An 18,999-nucleotide genomic window follows, 5' to 3' on the forward strand; every position below is an offset into this window, starting at 1 on the left:
AGATGAAATGATGAATGAGGGTAACTGTTAAATGACACCATGCCTCCTTGGTTTACTTTAATTCCTGAAATGATCTCCTGTGAAAGAGAGAGAGTGTGTGTGCATATGTTAATGCATCTGTGCGTGTGCACACCTGTGTGCATGTCCTGGTGTACACCACACGCACCTGTGCACATCTCTTAGGGCACTGAAGTTGTTCTCTATGTTCTTAGGCTTCGTGGAACCAGACATAGTGATCAAACATGGAGCATATTTCTACTGCAGATAACTAGAAACTGGATCATGGCGATAAAGCTAATCCAACTGGATGGATCCTAGCTCTGTGACATGGCTGACTTCCAGAAGCACAGGCTTTTTTGCTCTCGAATATCAGGATGATACCTGGAGTTCTGAGTCTGATGACCTGGAAGATTTGGGGTAATTCCGTTTAGTAGACACAGCTATGGACTCACACAAAATTCATTCATTTTTGAGTCTACTTTATTTACAGTTATTTATCCTTTCTTGAAAACTTTTAGCATCGCCTTGATTAAAATAAGTTCATAAAATAATCTTCACTGTATTTGTTACATATGGCACAGAATAATTTAGCACTTTATAAATATGTCTCATTGATGCACAAATGGGAGGAGCACCCTTTGCTGAAAGCAGTACAGTGACTTAGTTCAATTTGGCTACGGTAGCACTTTAAAAAATTACCATGAGATGGCGCTGTGGCCAAGTAAATGCAGTATGCTTTAAACAGTTTTCCCTAATTATGGCAGTTAATTGCTTTTTTTTGAATATAGAGGAATCTATCATTCAACTTAAAGTAGAGCAAGGTTTGTTACTCCGTTTTAATAGTATTCATTAAAAGTGAATCCTTTAATCACAGATCCATAAATCATTTGACAACTGTGTTTCACTTAGGTGTGAGTCTGTTTAAAAAGCCATAGTAGTCAGAAAATTGCCAGACTAAACAAAGGGCCCAAAGGTACCATTTTATTTAGGATCAAGAAACTATATATGTGGACCATTGTTTTCGCCATCCTCATAGACTTGTCTTAAAGTTCTTCCACAAAATTAGATTAATTTCCAGTTTATTTAAAGAGCTGATATTTTTGTTACACTTTAATCTGCTTTGCAGCAATGGAAGGTCATAGAAATATTAGAACATGAATTCACATTTAAATAAACATGATACAAACATGCACACATGTGTATATACTGAGTGTTTTCATTGACTTGCTTTTCGTCCATATAAATATATAAATATTGAATAAAGTGCATGAGAACATGTCTGTACATATATACAGCTACACATTTGCCTATACAGTATACACTTGAATAGATACTTATGGAAGAAAAAAACACATACACATTTGTAATATATAGGTAGTCAAAAGACATCTATCAGGCAACATTAATGTACATTCTGATCAAGATTGAGTATATGGGGGTAGAATCTGTAATCTTTTCCCTAATATATAATGAAATGTGCAGAGTTACAAGTGAAGGCAAAATACATTAGAGTGGAGACATTTTAACATTTATATTTTCATCAGTTAGTATGGTATATCATAAGGAGTAGTTCAGTTCAAATGCAGCCTTGGTACTAGCAGCATATTATACATTCTATCTTTGAAACAGTGAACCATCTTTCAACATATCTATGAGGACATAATGAGAATTTTATGCATTTCCAAATTACACAATGACACTTCCCACATTCTTTAGTTTTCAAATCTGTATTTTTTTCCCAAAGGTTTAGGGCAAACACTATTTCTCATTCAATAGAAATGCTTCAGCATTGTAATCATATATATAACATTGATTCTAATAACAACATGCAATTTAACCTTGAGTGTTATAATATCAAGGTGGATTAACTGTTGTTAATCTCTTTTTCTCTTTAGTAACCATTTCAATGAAATATTATAATATCTGCTTTTCTATTAGGGAGCCCAGTGTCAATGAGTAATACTGAAATGAGTGAGTTTTTGGAGAAATAGAAGAAAAATTTTGCTCAAAACTATGGTAGTTATAAACTGGCTTGAGATTGAGGTGCGTATTTCTAAATTAATTGCAATGTTAAGCCTCAAGTGATATTTTCCCCCTCCTTTATTTGTTTGGTGTTTATTGGTAACCAATCAGGAAAACTTATTTTTAAAACTACTCTCACAGTTGAAACAAACTTGTTTCTGAACCAGGTAAGAAGGAAATAAGTTGAAATGATTCTAAAAATAAGTCTGTATATATTTTTTGACTAAGACCATTTCAGTTTAGTCATTTTCTTTTTTTCTTTCTTTTTTTTTGTGATAGGGTCTCACTCTGTTGCCCAGGAGGAAATGGCAGTGGTGTGAACTTGGCTCACTGCAGCCTTGAGCTTCTGGGCTCAAGTGATCCTTGCGTCTCAGCCTCCCCTGTAGCTGGGACCACAGTTGTGTGCCACAAGGATCAGATAATTTTTTGATTTTTTTTGTAGAGACAGGGAGGTCTCACTTTGTTACCCAGGTTGGTCTCAAACTCTTGGCCTCAAGTGATCCTCCCATCTCAGCCTCCCAAAGTGCTAGGATTACATGCACGAGCCTCCGTGCCTGGCCGAGCCATTTCGTTTGAAGGCAAGGATTTTGTTTTAATTATTTTTATATTTCTCATATCTAGAAATTTGCTTCACACATAAATGTACACTCAATAGATGATTGTGGAACCAAGCAGAATGGTTTTAATAAATAGTATAAACCGATGGATCTGAAAGCATCAGTTTACCTGATGAGTGTCATAGGAAAGTCACCTGCTTTTTACAGAGATGTCCTAGGACTCTACCACTGTCAGTAGCCGGAAACCTGAGTTCATCCTCAATCCTGACACAGTTACATCAATATACATTTACTGCTCAAAAGAGTGCATGCATGATGCAGTCATTTCACAGCAAGTTACCAAATACCTCGATAGTGCTGTTTTAGAGAAGCAATTGCTAGAAAGGCATTTGGTAATGTTAAATCATCCTTTTGCTAGTTTACCTAGAGGAACAAATATTAAACAAGACCACACTGGAAATTCAGAGTAAAGCACAAGAAGTAGAAGAGAAAGCAGCAATAGTTATTGAATAACATTTGAAGTCTTTTTCACTTCTGAGAATTAACTTGAAATGCAGCAAATGCCAGCAACCTTGTGAATATTTCAAAATGGTATCTATGAAAAAGCAGGAATGAAAAATGTTGTCAAGTATTTCATTTAATTATCTTAGCAATACAGATTTTATAACACTGACCTTAGTGGCTTTTTTTTTCTCCTTTCAAAATATATACCATAGTAAGTTTTAAAGATAATTTTTAAGAGGCCATTATATTCAATAAAATTTTCACTATTTATAGCTATTTTTATTTACAGCAATAGGTAACCAACTCAATCCCATGTCATCAATGAACAGCATAGCAGCAAGGTTTCCACTTGAAAATAGAAGTTAATTTAGATTTACTTAGGGCTTCATAATTATACAATAAAAGTGAATCATTTTAAAGACATATCATTTACAATGTTATAAATAAGTATCAGAAAGCTCACAGCTGAAATGCTGTCAGAACATTTTCCAAGCACACATTTTGTAGCATTGAACCCCGCTTTTCATTGACAGAATAAAATGAGGCATACAGATATGATCGTTGGTTCCACTAGACTTGTCTAATTTTTTCCAATCTCATATTTTTTTTTTTCCAGATAGGTGAAAACTTGCTCAGTGTGCCTTCCACAGTTGCCACGGCAACTAGCCTATCACACACAGCTCACCTTTTCATTCACTCCGTCGCTATTGTCTTTAGAAGCCTCTTCAGAATGCTGCTTTCCTAGAGCAACCATTGAGCAGTCATTATCTGTTGTCTTGGCATCTTGCTTTGAATTCTTTTTTTGTCCCATTTGAAGTTGGCTAGACTTGTAGGCCAAAGCCGGTATTGTGTTCACTAAAATTAACTGCAATGGTTTTTTGTTTTCCTTGTACTGACACTGAATATACCGTGAAAAGGCTGACCTATAGGTCTTGTTGAACAGTGTGTAGACTAGTGGGTTGACTGCTGAAGAGAGATAACCGATCCAAACAAACACATTGAGCAGGGCCCCAATGACATCCTCATTGCAGGACTCTTTGCAGATGACGGCCATGATGTTTGTGATGAAGAAAGGGCACCACATCACCACAAACAGGAAGAAGACGATGCCCAGCACCTTGCATGCCTTTTGCTCATTGCTGATGGACTGCATAGTCCTCCTGCCTGTGTAGGACCCTGGCTCCCTATGGATCGACCGCTGGAAGAGCTTTTCTGAAGACAAAGAACTCTGAGGGAGGAAGCTGAAAGAAGCTAATTTGGCCCGTGTGCCAAGATCACTTACACACAAAGTAGCTTCTTTCTGGAGTGACTTGATAGTTAGAAAGTAGGTGATCACCATGATGGTTAAGGGAATGAAAAATGACACAAAAGAGCCGATCAGGACAAAGTTATCATCGGCGAGTAAGCAACTCCCCTCCTTAAAGACCTTCGAATCGTCCTGTAGCCCAAAGACTGGTATTGGCATGGATATACCTGGAGTTGAACAGAAAATGAAACATGATTATTAAGGAATTAAGTATATGAAGGCAAGAGCATCATCACATAATATTGGCTATTGAAAAGATTTTATATCATCGTTTAAAAGCTTAACATACTTTGAGAATTTAAAATTCCTTTGGACTTACATATGTGTTTTGTAAGTATATATTATGTAGTTACTTGTATGTTATATTGCCCTATATAGCTAACCCTTATAAAGAAGTATAATAAATCTAGCTTTATTTTTTATGCCACATTTTTCTGATTATAATATTATACTTATTAATTGAAGAAACACACAGAGAGGCAAATAAACTAAAAATTGTCCAATAACGTCACCATCTAGAGATAGCCACAATTAACAACTGATGCTGTTCATTTTATTTATTTATATATTTATTTATTTTTGTCTATGAAAATCTAGAATATAGATTTGTTTCTTTTTTTGATGCTGTTCATTTTAGATACATTCACACACTTACCATGTGCACACATTTTAAAACAGAATTGAGGTTCTTTTTCACAAATAGTTCTGTATCTTTTTTAAAAAATCTAATAATATGTCACAAGCATGGCTTATATATAAAAATAACTATAAAATTTTAAATATAGTTTATTTTCTCTCTAGAAAATTTGGGAGGTACAAAAATGTAACAATGAATAAAGAAAAATAATATGTATTCTCACCAGTCAGGGGCAACCATAATTTACATTTGCATCATTTCTTCTTCCACTTACATGTACATATAAAAGCAAATGTGTATATGCAGTACTTTACATGCAGTACTTTGTACCTTATATGTTTTAGATCTTCCTATTCCATTTAACATTATAAATCATGATAATTGCACATAAAATATTTTTGAGAAATACAATTTTCTAATATTAATTTAAAATAACCAATTTTAATTCTTTTTAAAAAAGCTTTTATTATGGGACATTTTTAACATACACACAACTAACAAACCAAAAACCAAACCCAGTACAGTGAACTCGTCACCCAGCTTCAAAGATTATCAGCTCAAGCCCAATCTTGTTTCATCCATATGTCCTCTGGCTGCCATCCCTCCCATGTTATTATGAAGCAAATCCTAGACATCATGTCATTCAATCTGAAAATATTTATTACGTAGATCTAAAAGCCATGCACTCTTAGACAAACCTAATATTTTCACAATACCATTCTCACTCCTAAATAGAAGTTTAATATTTCCTTAATATTAAATGTAGAGTTAGTGTTCAAATTTCCAATTGTCCCATAAAGGTTGTTCTATGTTTTTAGTAGTAGAGCATTCATAAGGATGGATTGCAAAAAACAAGACAGCCATAGACTTTTTATTGACAAATATAAAAAGTAGGTATAGGATGAGATAATACAGGGGAACATGGGCCTATATGGTTCATTGCTCCATCACCCAGATTTGGGGGATCTGTAAGGCTCCCTCAGGTACAGGGATTAGGCAGAGGAGGAAGCAGAAGTGAATAAAGGCAACCCCTGGCCTCTAATCATGCTATGTGCCCCACTTGATGATAGGACCTTTTTAAAGGAAGATTCAACTGGCCATGTTGTGCAGTTTCACCACCCAGCCCCCACCATGGACAACCTCTCTGCTCCTGGGGAAATAGGTGTATCTTTCTCTACTGGCCTGGGATGGTTGGTCCAAGGCAATCATGAGATGGCTTATTCTCTCTGCCATAAAGGTAGAATCAGGATGATAAAAAAGAGAGGAAACATGAATCAAGTACTCTGTATAACTTAGTTTAAGATTGTTTCTTTCATGAAATGGTAGATATTGCAGGGACAGCCTGGGAGAAAAAGTCAGAAAAATAGTTCCCTTCTAACTCCTGCCCATATTATCAGCACACTCAGAATTGTAGAACAAAGAGTGTTGTGGTTACTGCTTCTGACCGTCTTTAGAGTCTAATACATGGTCTCACACCAGCCAAGAACACCGGTTTATTCCAGAATTGGGGGCCACTGCCTCACTCTTGCCATCCATCTGGAAAAAGGTTTTTGGAGAATCTCTAATCTAACTTCTGCATACTCAGAACAGAGTTCCGCTTCATCCAAGCACAGGCATGACTGTCCTAACCTCATGTCACCTCACATTGGCCATCGTGGCCAGGAAAGAACGCTGAGTTGATGTAATATTCAACACAAATCTTTCTTAGTGACATTTGCCATTATCTTCAAAGACTTAATTAACAATATTTGTCACTTGCCTATGCAAGCCCATCCAGGATTCTTGGAAGGTGGAGATAAATGACATCAGAGCTGTTCATAAGGACACTTATTGTGGCTAATGACTCTTCATTTCCTCCATCCCTCTCTGTTCCTGGCCCATTGTTTGCAACATTCAAGAAGAGATTGATGAGCTGTGCCTCCAAGGAGAACATCCTCTGAGACCCTGGATATTGACCAGTTTTGCTTATCCTTCGGAAAACTCTTGATTGTAAAAGTAAGGGCATGATTTCTAAGAAGAGTGTTTTTCTCCCAGTGTTTGAATCTAGATCTGTGAAAGATATTTCCTGTACTCATGTACAAGGTCTTCTTAGACAGCACAGTTGCTCATTGATTAGAAAGGATGCTTTGTTCAACCATTTGAGACATCCCTGGATTTGAGTCTTGGCTGTGGCTCTGGGCTCCTGAATTGGTTACTTCATTCCTATAGTCCCCACTTCTTCATCTATCGTGGGAGGCTGGCACCAACATACCTTCATGCATTTGGTGAGGATAAAATGGATCAAATTTGCAGAGCACCTAGCACAGCACCCAGTCCATAGTGATGTTCTACCAGTGGTCAATAAACATGAGAGTAGCTTTCTCTGCAGAACTATTTATATTAAATATATCAACATTATTTTATTCTAATCCATTTTGCTTAGTTTGTATACACTAGATTTTATATAGCAGATCTTTTTAAACCAAAAGAGACTAAAAAGACTTTTGGCTATTGGCCGTAGAGTTAACACTGATGTAATTTTAGCTTCTGCCAGGGTGACGCCGGGTCTTAATCAATTTTAATTTTGTGCAGCTAGAACTGTTGATTACTTTCCTAATGTGATGAATTACAGCATTACTATTAGTCATGATACACAGAAACAAGATATCAACCGTCCAAAAAAGGTGTGTGATTTTGTTATTAAACTCTTGAGTGTTCTTTTTCTAATTAATACAAAGGAAGTAACTACCTTGAGAGCCTTTTGCCCTATTTGCTTATAACCTAGTAATGTACATAAGTGGCAATTCTCAATTAACCAGAATGTGGGCTTACCTAAAATGCCAAATTCTTTAATTATTTGGAATAGTGTCTTTGGTTGGACACACACATACACACACACACACACACACACACACACACACCCTTACAGAATAGCCCAGTTTCTGAGAGGGGTGATGGAGTCATCTGCACTGAAATAGAGAATCCCTCTCTTAAATGCCCGGGATAAAAAGCCACTCTACAAGAGGATGTGGTAAGAGGTTACACGCAGAGCTGTTCTGTCTGGAAGGGGGATATTAATTTGGAAGTGGAGAATCAAGCTGATCAGTTATTTAAATGGCCTATTCATCTTTACATATAACAAAAACATCCTGAATACTATCGTATACCATTCTTTTTCCATGCCTCACTCATAGTATCTGGTCAGCAAGGGTTGTAGAAAGAATAACCAGAAAGTTAAAGTAATACTCTATAAAGAGGAGAGGAAATTTTATGTCAAAAAACTTAGAACACATAGATAGGCTTTGTGGGTACAATCAGCAGCTCAAAAGCATGTGCCTCTACCAAGAGAGATGAAGACATGGGCTGATATCCAATATCGTGGTCACAGCCATCTCTAGGGCATTAATTATCTGGCTGCTTTGTTTGACAATAGCTGCTTTTGGAGACCTGACATCTCCTCTCACTTGAAATTTCTGCATATAAAGCATTTTCCTTTATGAACAAAACAGACAGTAACCTGAATTACATGACTCTGCATTTTGTTTAATATATTTTTTCTGAAGAGTGGAAAACAGCAGTCAAAATTCACTATCAGTATTAGATCCTCTATGTAGCATTTTATTCATTTCCATTGAAACTCAGACAATAAAATGAATGGGAAACCTTGACACCTAAGAACACAAAAGCTTTGGTTGGTGTCTTTCTTTCAGCATGGCTCTGCTTACTTCCTGCACATAAACTTTGCACCTCTAGTTAACATCTTACCACAGGCTGCATCAATAATTCACTTTGAACCGCTGGCTGTGAAGGACTGGCTTTATTCTTAATCTTGGACTTTTTCTGAGACAGTGTACATTTCTTGGGAAATAAGAAGATTGCCTTCCTAGATAACCATTCTCTTGTAGGGAACAGGACAGTGGCAGTCCCTAGGGCCCTCAGCTGGAAAGGAGGTGGAGGGCAGAGAAGTTATTTCGGGGCTCTTGTGAAAAAGATTGAAATTTGGGTTCATAGGTTTCTGTTTCCCCAAACTGCTACCTTTTCTTTGAATTTTAATGCATGCTGTATTTTTCAAGTTATAAGAACAAATTTACTAGTAGTTTGACAGAAGACACCACTGGTAAACACTGCAGGATAATCCTCATATTACAGGGAAAGAAGAATTGAATATATAGGGCAACTGCCAATGGGACTCACTATCCTGATACAGAGTGGCTAAATTCCTTCTAATCTATGTATGGTGTGTTGACAAGGCAGATGTACATAAAAATGAGAGCTACACAAACATGTCAGTTACCCAAAAGCTGTATGTTTCTTTTTCTCAGATTAATTCCAAATAGCTCTGATAATAAATTGCAACTTTTCAAGGTATTATCACACATATTTGTTTATTCACTCTAAATTGATTTTTACAAAATTGTTAAAACATTACCCACACCTTCTTATGGGGCAGATGAAAATCTCACTTTACAGATATGAAAACTTGGGCCTACCAAGCTTAAGTAATTTAGTTAGAATCACACAGAAAGTTGGGGGCAAAATCAAGACCTCTACTCAGGGTTCTTAATTCTTATGGTGGATTTTTAAAAACTGCTTATTTGTTCCTTTGAAGGTAGTTACAAAAGTCTATGACTACCTCTGAGGTTTTTAACATTGGCTTCAGGAAGTCTATGATAATCCTAAAATCTGAAAAATTTGTATATATGTATATTTCCTTGGAGATAGATCTTTCCTTAGATGGGCAGAAAAATTCTAGCCCCTAATATGACTAATAAGCACTAAATTACACCAATTGATATGGTTTCATTCTGTGTCTCCACCCAAATCTCATCTTGAATTGTAATCCTCATAATCCCCACATGTCGGGACAGGGACCTGGTGGGAGGTGATTGGATCATGGGGAGGTTTCTCCCATGCTGTTCTCGTGATAGTGAGAGTTCTCACGAGATCTGATGGTTTTATGTGTTTGACAGTTCCTCCTTCCCACGCTCTCTCTCACCTGCCACCATGTAAGATGCACCTGCTTCCCTTTCTGGCATGATCGTAAGTTTCCTGAGGCCTCCCCAGCCATGTGGAACTGTGAGTCAATTAAACCTCTTTCCTTTATAAATTACCCAGTCTTGGGCATTTCTTTATAGCAGTGTGAGAACAGACTAATACGCCGATGTTGCATGTACAGCACAAACTCTCTCTCTCTCTCCACCACCCCCACCAGTGATTTTCTGTACCTTGATTTTGTTTTTGCATTCTTTCATCTCAAAGCCACAAGTTCCTCTAGCCAGACATTAAATTCATTGAGGCCAGAAAAATAGTTCAAAAATAAAATCCTTATAATCAACATTTAGTTTCTTTCAAATACTAGGGAAGTTATTCTCAACTGTAGCTGCACATTAGAATCACTGAGGGAGTTTTAAAAGTTACATTGCCTGAGCCTCATTCTCGGGGGTTCTGATGTTAGTACTTTAAAAAATATAAATGCCCAGGCACTACATAAACATGAAAACAACAACCACTCCAGGGATCTCTGTAAGCAGTTGTGCACTGCAGAAGCTGGTGGCCTAATTGCCCCCATCATAGATTCCTTATAAAGTGGTCTCTGTCTCCTCTGACCCTCCTTCCTTTTCTTTTCCATTTCATAGCCTAGAGGTTGTGCTTCAATATAAAGATCTTGCACTGAAAGGCGAAGAGATTGAATTCTGGCTTGTAGATGGGGCTTGTCAGCCGTCACTGCAACACTTAAGAACCCATCCACATCTCTCTTGTCTCAGAGAAGATTGACTTTCATCTACCATTTCAGCCCCCAGACAATATATTACAAAACCCAAAGAGAATCTGAACCATATAATATAATTTGAATAAATAACCAGAGCCTTGTTTTGTTGTTGGAATCACAAGTAATAAGGCAACTTCTGCTGATCACTATGTTAGTTAGCTTAATTTCATCATTCTACATTGTAGGCATCGACCAAAATATCACATTTGTACGTCATCAATGATACAATTATGATTCACAAATGAAAAATAATATTAATAATAAAAATAAAACTCTTCAATGCCACAGAAAGTTGGGGGCAAAATCAAGACCTGCCTCCTTCTTTTTTAATGAGTGGATATTACACTATCTACCCCTAGCAGGTGCTCTTTTCTAGGCTGCATATTTAGCAACGTGCTCATGAGTAAAGATTTATTTAGAAAAAAAACTCATCTCTGTCCTACATTATTGGGCCCCATCTTGAAAGTATTGTATCCTTTCTCCCATTTCTATCAAGGGGGCAGATTTTGGAGTGATTCTCTCTGAAAGCTTGGAGAATGAGTCTTACATGTGACATGTCTCATTTCAGAGACTCTGGTCTAGAAGGTGTGGGGAGAAACAGCCATGGTGTCTGGAAAGCTAGATTGCGGCAGGTGCGCACATAATCTAGACCCACAACAGTCAGTTCTCTTTCCTCCAGCCTCGCTTGTATGCAGCATCCTAAAGCACCTTTTCCATCATATTACACAAGAGCCTATAGTGTCCCTAACACTCGAGCAATTACCAGCTACTCAGCCCACCCTACAGGGTCTTTGTAATCTGATTTTAACATAATTATTCAACTTTCTCAATAGTCATATGGTGTTCTCTCTCTGTTGCTCTCTTCTTTATGTTATGTCTTGAACTATTCAGGAGGATATTACCCATAGCAAGATTTTTCAACCAGTCACAGAGTGTGATTTAAGGAGCCCCCAAGTCCTGCCTCCTCTCATATATGTCTTCTCTCAGTAGCTTGCTTGGTATACAGTAGTCCTCCCTTAAGCTTGCTTTCCCTTTCCATAGCTTCGGTTACCCAGTCAACCACAGTCCGAAAATATTAAATGGAAAATGCCAGAAATAAACAATTCGTAAGTTTTACATTGTTAACTGTTCTGAGTAGTGTGATAAAATCTTGTGTTGTCCTACTCCACCCCACCTGGGATGTAAGCCATCCCTTGGTACAGTGGATCCATGCTGCAGATGCTCTGTGCCCATAAGTCACTTAGTAGCCATTTCAGCAGATCAACTATTGTGGGATCACAATGCTTGTGTTCAAGAAACCCTTATTTTACCCAAGAATGGCCCCAAAGTGCAAGAGTAGTGAGGTTGGCATATTGTTATAATTGTTCTATTTTATTATTAATGATTGTTAGTCTCTTACTGTGTCTAATCTATAAAATAACTTTATCACAGGTATGTGCACATAGAAAAAACATAGTATATATAGGGTTCAGTACAATCCACAGTGTCTGGCATCCACTAGGGGTCTTGGAATGTGAGCCCCAAGGGTAAGGGGAAACTATTGTACTGCAGTGTCTCTCTGTTAGAGTGAGAGGTCCATTCTGTGTACCTATAATACCCTGGAGGGTTGACTATTAACCTAAGTTCATGGTGCAGCAGCACAAAGACGCATAGTAGGGAGGACTCCTGAGGGCATAGGCCTTGGAAAGGAAGGTTGCCCTAGGAGGGAAGACATACAAGATTGCTCAGGGATGCAGGTCTGAGGGAGGTATGGTGGCTGTGCCATGCTGGGCTGTTCGTTAAAGCCCAGAGCACCATGGGGAAGGGGCAATCTAAACGGCTACTGGGAGGTACAGAGACTTACTTTTCATTTTTGCCCTGGACCAATTTTGATGACTTTCCTTTCCCTGAAATGCTACACCAATGAGTAGGGGCTCCAGGATTTCTATGTAGCAGGGGCTTAGGAGTGGCGGCTGGAGGGCATGGGGGAATGAGGCAACCTGTCTTGAGGCTACATTTGCATACAAAACACATTATTGTACTTTAACTGTACAATTATTTGGGAGTGCTTTGGGAATCTGCAGATGGAGATCATGTTTCCAAACCACACCCTACAATTTTTTTCAAAACGTATCTCAAGGCACATCCGCTATATGAAACCTTCCCCAAATTAATTCTCTCTATAATAAGAACTATTTTTCTTACTCAATATTCCTTCAACACCTCCATAAATAAATTATACTGTGCTAGTTCACACTTTCAATATCTTAGAATTTTTCTCTAGACATGTCATTATATTCATGAGATGACAATCTCATTAATAGCAGGGATATCTTTTTCTTTGTGTATTGTAAGACATCCCAGCATCGAATGTGCTTCTGCTTATACTTAGAGCTTAGTAAATGCTTGTGGGATTGATGGGTAAACAAATGAGAGAGAGGAAAATAAAAGAGAGAGTTGGGAATTATAATACACTTTATAGACACAGCTTGAAGTTACTGAATAATTTCGTAATGCTTCCCTTCATTTTTGTTGGGAAAACACAGTAATGAGGCTGCCAATTAGCCACATAGGGTGGAAAAAAGAAAATGGACATTTGTATGATACAAAATTTGTATACTACATAATTCGTACACTCTTTTAAGGGAGGCACATATAGGATTAACCAGCACATGAGCTGACCACCTTAACAGCTAAAATCACAAGGGAAAAGATCGCTGTAGAACATGGTGCCTAGTGAGAATCAGGAGACTTGCGTTTATTCCTGTCTGTTCTGACTCATATCCTGGATCTAGGCCCGTTATTTTTCACAAAGTGTCTTTCAGGTAAATTAAACAAGTATGTATCAGCAAACTGGAGCATGAATATAGTGGGAAAATCACAGAATTTGGAATCACAAGACACAGGTTTGCCTCCAGACTCTGTTAATCACTAGCTGGGTGACCTTAGGCTGCTTAACTTTCAAGCTTCCATCTGTAAGGTGGAGATAATATAAAGAGGCCTCCTCTAATTTTCATGCAAGGCTTTGGTGAAAAAGCAGTGAGATGATGAGTCTGAATCATTTTGTAAAGTTTTAAGATTTATTTAGATGAGAGTGATTATAATTTACTTAGCACTATGTGAGACTCTGGGTAAAGCAAAAGACCTTTGAGACATTTCATGATGTCTAAGATCTTTTTTTTTTAAGCTTTTTATTATGGAAAATTTTAAACACACGAAACTACAGAAAATAGTACTGTGAACCCTATGTACACATCACCCAAGTTCAATATAATCATGATGTCTAAGATCTTATAGGGAAAACAAAATATACACAATTGATTTAGGAAGGCAGCAGTGCAGGACAGAATGAGATCGAGAGGCAAAATAGATGACATAGATAAATTCCTATGTGATGTCACAGTGCGAGGCTCATTGTTGGTTGGCATCCCTGGGAAAGGCACAGGAGCTGAGCTGGGCCTGTGAATGAATAGAATCTGGACAGGGATGAGGCAAGGAGACAGGAGTGATCTCTCCACCCTGGGCCCAGGTGAGCCTGGACTTGCTGGGGCTGAGGCAGTCTGTTGTCTGGTATGCAACTGTGAACTCAGGAGCAAGTGCACACATTGCTTATCACTTACCAGAAGCATTGAGCAGGTCCTCTATCTATGATAGCAATCAGTTTTGTTCCTTCATCCATCAATCAAGTAGTAATTGAGCCTACACTGAGCTAGGTACTTGAGGAATTTGAGGGGAAGGTGGTTGAGTCTATAATCAGTTACTTTACAATCTAACACCTTCACTACCATTCATTAATTCATCACTCCAAAAAAAAAAAAAAAAAGAAAAAAAGACTAGGGAGGCAGAGGATACAGAGATATAAGCAGAAAACTAGGATCTTACAGGGAAATATATCTGCTTCTGCTTCAGTCTGTTGTGAAGTTACATAGCATGTATCCTCTGGAAAACTCTCTACCCTCTTAAAAGGGTGAATGGGAGAAAGGAAAATAATATCTTATCATAGTCATGCACCCATAACAATGTTTCAGTCAACATCAGACTGCGCACACAACAGTGGTCCCATAAGATTAGAATAAGATTATAACACTGTATTTTTACTATACCTTTTCTGATATGTTTAAATACACAACTACCATTGTTATAATTGTCTATGGGGTTCAGTACAGTAACACTCTGTACAGATTTGTAGCCTAGGAGCATTAGGCTGTCCCACACAGCCTAGGTAGGGAACCTGCAGAATATGTTTGGAAAGCCACTGATACAGGAGAAAAAAAGCCATTAGTTTGCAATGAGAAAACCCAAATTTGGATCCCCTCTGGTTTTAAGCAAGTCATTTAATTGGAGTTTTTTTTCTCCCATAAAATGGGGATTAACAGTGTACCCTTCAAGAGATGATCATGAGAAATATAAATGAGAATTGCTACCCTTATATAGTAAATATAAAGTAAATACTATATAGTAAATATAGTATTGTCTAACAGCTGGCAATTATAGAGAAGAATGTTCTACAGCCATCCTTAATGCCCAGAGTTCTTCATTAAAAATCTCTGCTGTAGCTGAAACCTCCAACCACTCTTGTTTGGTGCTAACAGAAATGAAAACCAGTTTAATATCATCTTTATATTTAGTTTAAAAATCTGTACATTGCTTGCCACTTTGCACATAGGTCTCTGTTAATATGGAACCAGTTCATCACCCAAGATAGGGGTCCTGCAGAGCAAGAATGTTTCCCAGAATGGCTGATAATGGTCTCCTCAGTGAAAATTGAATGACCTCTTGACTGTGGATGGTGACAATGAAGTCAAGTGCCAAGGGTGCTGAGTAATGGGTGTGCAATGTCATATTGCCTTAAAAGTACACATTGGGATTCACAGAACAAGGACAAAAGAGAGACTTCCACTGTGTCCTTTCTCTGTGGGAAGAAGGGTGGTCATATGAAATCTGGGACTTTTTTCACAGGTGTTGTGTTGACAAGGAATCAGTTCTTTGCACAGAGGTCTATGTTAATACGGAATCAGTTTCTCACCCAAGACAACAGAAGGACCTGCCACAGTGTCACTAGTGTCATTTCTGTCCAGGGAATTCAGTCATGCAAGCCCTGGAAACCTGACACCTCAGCTGTGCTGGCAAAAATGGGGGTGGCTGACTCCTCCTGTTTGTTCATTTTGCTCTTTTCCAAATTGCAGTTTTGCCAGCATGCTGCTCTTTGGTGGAACTGAGGCTATAAGCCAATGTCCTAGCTACAAAGAAGGGTGGGAATTTGAGTTTCGATTCTTGGGAATTTCCCAAAATACTGAAAGGCTAGTTGAAAGAAATATGGCAGGCACCCACTTCACTTGACCTACGGCATGATTTGTAGCTGCTGTAATTGGGGCAGTGAGCGGGGGTGCCTCTTTCAAAGATAGTTCTGCTAGGATTTCTACCCTTTTTCAATTTCCCACTTTTTTCCCCTATGATCTTCCTCTCTTTTTCTGGCATCTCTGCAGTCAACATAAGTTCAAGTGTTTAACAGTTAAAAATGAATCCATCTGTAAACATAAACTATATACCAATAGCTATCATCTCAAATGCTTACAGGGCCAGTGAAGTAATGTAATTGAGCTACCTGTTGGCAGATAAGATGGTAGGAAGGGTGTTGCTTGGTAAACTGGATAGTGCCTGAGGGCAATCAAGTTCAATATAATAAGAAACAAAACACATTGTGCAAGCCAAACAAAACAGATCTGTGGGCTAGACACATTTTTCATTATTCAATTAGCTTGGCACAGGTTTAGAGCTTTACAAATTTCTTTTGGGTTCTTCTTTATTTCCATCTCTTATGGACTTCTCATCTTGGCCTTGCTCTTGTGGTCACTGTTCTCGTCCTGATCAGCTGACACTATTTGTACCACGAGGCCCAAACAACTTTTTGTTTTGGGTCCTAAATCCTAAGATTAGGCAGGATCTTTCTTAGTTTGGGTTTCAGATGCACGCCTCTGGGATTCGGATAAAAATTGTTATCATGCAGATAGATTAGTGCCCCTGGGCACTATTTGGGGCACAGAAAGTCCCTAACTAGCAACTTCTTCTTGTAACCCAAGCTAAACTTCTGTATCTCCCTCTTGTCTTACCCACTGTTTCCTAGAGCTTCTAGGATTCTAGAAGCTTCTTCACAGTTTCACTTTTTATCACTCAACAGTCTGGTTGGCTGAGACCTCCAAACTTCCCATCCAGCTCAGGAAAGCCCAAGATGAAGACCTTTTGGTTTTACTGTCTTTCAGTGAGTGATATGAAAGCCTCTACTCTCTGAGATTTCATTTACTCCATCTCCTAAAAAGTTGTACATACCCTGAAACATTAGTGATTTGGAGGGAGAATTTTTTGTTCGTTTTGCAACATTGTAGAGTCATTTCTATGGTTTAATTTCTGCTTGTGAAGGCCCTGTCTTCCCCAGTCTTAAGTATGCCTTTAGTTTGCAGAAAGATGCACTGAGTTCAGGTTAAAAGCAGCTTTAATCAAGAAGTTTATCTGGTTGTTTTCAAGATCTTGTACAGATTTTTCTTGAAGAGATGAAATAGAGCTTAGCGATTATCTAAGGAAGCAGCTTTCTTTCACAGTTAATGAGTCAAGGTAGAACTGTTAAGCTCTCTGTGTAAGTTTAATAGGTAAAAAGTGGGGGAAAACCCCACATTTACAGGTGTCCACAATGCAACAGACACTATGTAGGTCTTCACAGATGTCAGCACATTTCATCCTCACGAGGAACTCACAAGGAAGGAATTATTATTCCCATTTTACAGATGAAGAAAATATACTCTATAACTTGGTCTAGGCCTTATACTTAATAAATGCACAAGCTAAGACTCAAATCTACATCTGATTTGTTTTCTTCTGTACTTCCATTTTTTGTTAGAATCTGGACCTTATGAACCCTAATCTAGTGTTCTTTTCATGACATCAGAAGAGTTTAGTTAGCTTTTTCATTGTTTCATTTTGTAGTTCATACTTTTTGGGTTTTAAGGATTAAGAGTGTTTACTCGTAAAGAACTTTGAGATGCATATGGAAATTACTGCTATCTGATATTACTTATACGTGGGAAGCAGGAATAGAAACAGGAGATAGGAAACTGAAAATAACAAAACCTCCACCCCAAGGGCTAAGCATTGTCATAATAAGTAATGAACAACTGAGACATTTAGCTGCCTCCTTGGCCTCTCAATTTGGATGTCTCCGATGGGCATCCCTAACCTTACACCGTCACACTAGGACTCTGGGTTGCACTCGCTCACCCCCCACCTTTCCTTATCCCAGTAAATGGTCCTACCATCTATCCAGATACACAGCTTAAAAACTTAGGAGTCTCTTTCCATTATCCTGCCTTTGCAAAAGACTCACCAGCATTCTAATAAGTCTACCTAATAATCTATCCTAATTTTACCTGCAAAATATACTTTTTGACCTAATCTGCCTACTTCTCTTTCTCCACTGCCATCTCTGTACTCTAAGCCACTAGGACTCCTGCCTGAATTACCACAAGACCTTCCCCACTGCCCTCAAGGGGCTCCCATCCTTACCTGTGTACCTCTGAGCCTAAGACCCTCAGAGACCCCGCACTGCACTGAGAATACCATCCAAACTCCTTACTTTGGCTGCAGGCCCTCAGAGATGTGGCTCTGCTGACCTCTCCTTCCCCCTCTCTTCTCACTCCCTTCCTTTCTTACTACACTTGAGCTGGACTGGCTGCTTTCTGCTCCTTCAACCCCGTAAGCTGGTTACTTCATCAGGGCCTTGGGACTTGCTGTTCCCACTGCCAGGAACACGCCACTCTCTACTGATATTACCATGGCTGGCTTCTTCTTATTTGGTGTCCATGTAAATGCCCTCTCCCCAGTCAGCCTTCCTCACCCTGCCTGAGTCACTCTGTAGCGGATTTCTCTGATTTGTTTTTTTCCTTTAGCAGTTGCCACTGTATGAGATTATCTTGTTTGGTCTATTTATTTGCTTGTCATCTCTCTGTTTACGTGAATGTGAGCTCCATAAAAGCAGATACTTTTCCTAAGACAGTGCATGGCACATAGTATTTAAATATTAAGCATGAAATAAAGATTTCTGGAATAAATGAAGAAGCAAATGCAGAGGCCTTTGGGAACACATACAACATAAAAAGAAGAGGAGAGAACAATTATGACTACCTAGTAGACTTCCTTATTACCTTAGTTATCTTGGCAAGGGCAAGAAATTGCCCAAATATAGATCATTTGGGGG

General features: G+C 38.4%; 1 protein-coding gene across 3 annotated transcripts in view; it reads right to left on the reverse strand.

The window, feature by feature from the left end:
- HTR2A (5-hydroxytryptamine receptor 2A) overlaps window positions 463-18,999 on the reverse strand; it is a 66,537-nt gene continuing 48,000 nt past the window's right edge. For all 3 annotated transcript variants that reach the window (NM_001378924.1, NM_001165947.5, NM_000621.5), the window contains one exon: window positions 463-4,556. In NM_001378924.1, the coding sequence (NP_001365853.1) occupies window positions 3,754-4,556 (803 nt within the window). In that variant the 3' untranslated portion in view covers window positions 463-3,753. The remainder of the gene's footprint in view (window positions 4,557-18,999) is intronic.

This window comes from Homo sapiens, chromosome 13, assembly GCF_000001405.40.
Source record: "Homo sapiens chromosome 13, GRCh38.p14 Primary Assembly".
In the NCBI taxonomy this organism is placed as follows: Eukaryota; Metazoa; Chordata; class Mammalia; order Primates; family Hominidae; genus Homo; species Homo sapiens.